The following is a 1,423-nucleotide window of genomic DNA, read 5'->3' on the forward strand; positions in this document are numbered from 1 at the left end:
AGCAACTATGAGAGCTGCCAGAAGTGGTATGGTTTGGCCGGGCGCCGTGGCTCACACCTGTAATCCCAGCAATTTGGGAGGCCAAAGCCAGTGGATCACTTGAGGTCAGGTGTTTGAGACCAGCCTGGCCAACGTGGTGAAACCCTGTCTCTACTAAAAATACAAAAATTAGCTGGGCATGGTGATGCATGCCTGTTATCCCAGTTACTTGGGAGACTGAGGCAGGCAAATCGCTTGAACCTGGGAGGTGGAGGTTGCAATAAGCTGAGATCGTGCCATTGCACTCCAGCCTGGGTGACAGGGCGAGACTGTCTCAAAAAAAAAAAAAAAAAGTGGCATGATTTTAAAGGGTTCATTCAAGTCTGTTATACTCATTTCTCCCTAAATCAAATGACTTTCAGATGTGTCCGTGATGCCACCAGCAGGGGATAATTCATCTTTGAGTGTCCCTTTCACCTTACGTTCTGGTGGGAAAGTGAGACAAGAAATGAACACATCTGTGAGCGGCAGGAGGCAGAGGGAGGAGAGAGTGGTGGAGAGCACTCTTCCCAGGACGGGGCCTAAGACAACCTTGTAGGAGGTGACTGGGACCAAGAGTCAGACAGCCCTGGGCTTCGCTGACAGCCAGCACCGCTGCTTCTCGGGCTGAGGCCCCCCCTCTGGGTCTGTCTCAGTGTTTGAATTCGTAACAATGGAGGTACTGATGGTCCCCCGTGGAGTTACTCTGAAGATGGAATGAGGCAATGAAATGAAACAGAGGCCCCCAGGTGTGCGCCGTTCTTATCCTGAGTGTGCGGGCGGCAAGCCCTGTTTCTAGGACGTCTGCCCTCATTCTGATGCTGTGCCTGGGACTGAGGAGCAGGTCCATTCACCTCCATACAGAATGCTCAAAACAATAGGCCGGGCGCGGTGGCTCACGCCTGTAATCCCAGCACTTTGGGAGGCCGAGGTGGGCGGATCACGAGGTCAGGAGTTCGAGACCAGCCTGAGCAGCATGGTGAAACCTCGTCTCTACTTAAAACACAAAAATTAGCCGGGCATGGTGGCGGGTGCCTGTAATCCCAGCTTTTTGGGAGGCTGAGGTGGGAGAATCGCTTGAACCCAGGGAGCAGAGGTTGCAGTGAGCTGAGATTGCACCACTGCACTCCAGCCTGGGCAACAGAGTGAGACTCCATCTCAAATAATAATAATAATAATAATAATAATAATAATAATGCAAAATAAATCGAGCCTTGAGGCTAGACAAAGATGGTGGGGAAGAACCACACGGGCAGAAGTTCCAAGGCTTCAGGTGTCCCACTTGCAGGGACGTGACTGGCTGTTTCTGGACTAGTGAGAAGACTGGGATGGGCTCTCCCTGGGTCGACTTGATCAGACTTGGGTTTTCAGAAGACCTTGGAATTCCAGCACTTTGGGAGGCCGA

General features: G+C 51.9%; 1 annotated feature.

Annotated features, from left to right (window-relative positions):
* Window positions 232-1,119: an enhancer, noted in NCBI's record as "OCT4-NANOG hESC enhancer chr16:9077187-9078074 (GRCh37/hg19 assembly coordinates)". NCBI's record gives its function as "activates a minimal SCP1, AML or CMV promoter by ChIP-STARR-seq in naive and primed H9 embryonic stem cells {active_cell/tissue: H9 hESC(naive and primed)}" and the evidence as "EXISTENCE:reporter gene assay evidence [ECO:0000049][PMID:30033119]".

The sequence above is a fragment of the Homo sapiens genome, chromosome 16, assembly GCF_000001405.40.
Source record: "Homo sapiens chromosome 16, GRCh38.p14 Primary Assembly".
NCBI classification, from domain to species: domain Eukaryota; kingdom Metazoa; phylum Chordata; class Mammalia; order Primates; family Hominidae; genus Homo; species Homo sapiens.